We start from the raw sequence: 2,977 nt of genomic DNA, 5'->3' as shown, positions 1-2,977 counted from the left end.
ACTGCTTACTATTTCAAAGAGATGGTTTTTTGTCCCCCAAAATCAATCCAATGGGTTGGTCTATTCATGACCTAATCCTTGATCTTTCTTTAGAGAAATGTTAGTTCCAGGGTACTCAAAGTCTCTTGAAGCCACTTTGAAACAATGATGAATCTTGCTTCATTCAAATGTAGCCCCTTCATCTGCCCCAGACTTGGCATTGAAGCTGACCTTTTGCAGCCAAATAAACTTCAGTGCCCAGCAGATCTGATTTCAATAATCTGTCCCTCTACCCACAATTGACAGCTCCTTATTCCAGAATTTTCTATAAACTACCAGGAAAGTCCACTAGAGGTCACTTTACTGCCACATGCAATGAATGGGAATGTTGGAGCTCCACTTCCTCTAAAAAGGCTATGAATTAACAGAGTGTTGGTGTTGATGTTCTAGGAAAATATGAGAGCCAGTTGGAGAGTAATTACATATTCCCATGCCATGGCACACAGTGCTCCCAGATTTTCTGATATGTGAGGCTGAAAATTATGGAAAACTGAGAGGAAATCAGATTATTCCATCTCAAAAGCCACATTCACTACTGAGGTCTTCATACTAGATCAGATCTCAGAACTCCAGAAGTACGCTAGCGCAGGCAGGAATCCTAATTTGGAGACAGTACATTCATGGATATCAGAAGGTCTGTGAGTCTCTAAAATTGTGTGCATTTTTCTGAGGACAGAAAGAACCTCAAAAAGGTCTAAAAGATGAGAAGGTCTGTGAACCTCTAAAATTGTGTGCATTTTGCTGAGGACAGAAAGATCCTCAATAAGGTTTTAAAGAAGAGGGAGAAATCTGATTCAGGGCCATCTGACTCACGGCCACCATTGGAAGAGCACTTTTTTGTCTTTAAATCTTTTCTGACACGGAAGAAAATTCAAGGAAAAATCTGGACTGAGAAATCCCCTCCAACTCTAAGACATCTTGTTAGTCAGAGACTGGGTAAGCCCCAGTTTTTTTTTTTTTTTTTTTTTAGAAAGAGGCTGAATGGCGGAACTGAAAGGCTAGCAAAGCCTCAGCACTCACCACCAAGCTAAAAGGAACAGAATAAATGATAATTGTCAGTAGTTAAGGCAGAAAACAAAAGGAAGATAAATGAGAATGGCTCACCAGGACCTGAAACCCCAAGCACTTGGGACAAATGGGGATCATTGACATAGAAAAAGGGGTGAGACCCCCCAGGGTGATGCAGATTTGTTTGAGGCTGGGTGACCAGCCCCAGAGATAGGAGTCCTCACTGGCCAGCCCTCCCCTCCCCGGCAGCCCAGCGCGAGCTCACAATTTCTCTTCCTTCCGATGGCAGTCGTCGGCTCCTAGGGAATTAAACTGATCAAAATGGAAAGCTTGGGGTGAGCAGAGCCTGCCACCACCCCGGAGCCTGATAGTTCAGAACAGTCTAAACTGAGTAGACAGGCAACGCTGAAGGGAAAGAGAATTCGGGGAACTGCGATGTATTTCTGTTCCTTTAGAAATGGAAGGTTTGGGCTTTAATGTGATCTCAAGCCATTTGGGGGAAGTTTGGAGTTTAGAATGATTTGAAGAATAAAGGCCTTGTTTTTGACTGACTGTTATTTCAGATCTTACCCATCTATCAATTAAATCTGACTTATTAACAGTATCTGGCAAAAATTCTGTCCGTTTGAGGATGGTGTGTGGTATTCTTGTACCTAACTATTCTCCTTAACCTTTTGGGAAAATGACCATATCCGTTTGTCTTAGCACTGGGCCCCCTCAGGACTTGCAAGGCTTTTTTTTTTTTTTTTTTTTTTTTTTTTTTTTTTTTTTTTTTTTTGAGCCAGAGTCTCGTCTCACTCTGTCACCCAGGCTTGAGTGCAATGAAGCAATCTTGGCTCACTGCAACTTCCGGGTTCAAGCGATTGTCCTGCTTCAGCCTCCTGAGTAGCTGGGATTACAGGCGCACACCACCATGCCAGGCTAATTTTTGTATTTTTAGTAGAGACGAGGTTTCACCATGTTGGCCAGGCTGGTCTTGAACTCCTGACCTCATGATCCCCCCGCCCTGGCCTCCCAAAGTGCTGGGATTACAGGTGTGAGCTTCTGCGCCCGGCCAAGGACTTGCAGGGCTTAAGGAGAGAATTGTGTTTTCTATTATGTCTTAAAAGCCAGCAAACTGTAAATCCTAGAGAGGAATCATTTTCAGGAAACTAGAGATGTAGTCCAGCCTTGGAGTAGCTTGCCATCCATACAGTCTTAAAGGTACTATCAATTTCTTTTTAAATCAAAGCATCAAACAGGCACCACTGTTTGTAAGGACTTGGGGAAAAATGAGCCCAATTGATACTTCTTTTCAAGCAAGTAACATCTAGCAAACTACACAAGCAAATAGGAACAAAATCAAGACAACATAAAACTGATTCCAGCTCCAAAACTAGTTCTGTGGCCTTCTGAAGTTTCTTACCTTTACCACAAATATTCCATGTGATCAGACACGCAGCATATTACAGTGAAAAGAGCAAGGACTTAAAGCCAAGGCATTCATCCCATGGGAATTTTTAGTTCTAATGCCACTGTAGCCACTTTCTAGCTGAGTGATTTTAAAGAGTTATCTAACCACAGATTCCTCATCTGTAAAATGGGGATAATAAAATCTAACTTGTAAGGATTAGGAACATTGTAGATGTCCAACAAATGGGGTGTGTGCATGTGTATATGCATAAATTACCTCAGCCTCCCTCTGAGATGAGAGAGTGAGATAAAACACAATGTACTAGCCCAGGCACAGTGGCTCATATATGTAATCACAGCACTTTGGGAGGTTGAGGCAGGAGGATCGCTTGAGCCCAGGAGCTGCAGACCAGCCTGAGCAACATGGAGAAACTCTGTTCCTACAAAAAATTCAAAAATTAGCTGGGCATGGTGATGGGCCACTGTGGTCCTAGCTACTCAGGAGGCTTTGTCTTTAGATTGCTTAATCTTCATTTGT

The 2,977-nt window shown here is 42.7% G+C and overlaps 1 annotated feature.

The window, feature by feature from the left end:
* Positions 1,120–1,249: an enhancer, noted in NCBI's record as "active region_6811". NCBI's record gives its function as "activates an Ori minimal core promoter by ATAC-STARR-seq in GM12878 lymphoblastoid cells {active_cell/tissue: GM12878}" and the evidence as "EXISTENCE:reporter gene assay evidence [ECO:0000049][PMID:35858748]".

Source organism: Homo sapiens, chromosome 12 (genome assembly GCF_000001405.40).
Source record: "Homo sapiens chromosome 12, GRCh38.p14 Primary Assembly".
Classification (NCBI taxonomy): domain Eukaryota; kingdom Metazoa; phylum Chordata; class Mammalia; order Primates; family Hominidae; genus Homo; species Homo sapiens.
The sequence above is the reverse complement of the archived record's forward strand: the minus strand, read 5'-3'. Positions and strand labels throughout refer to the sequence as shown.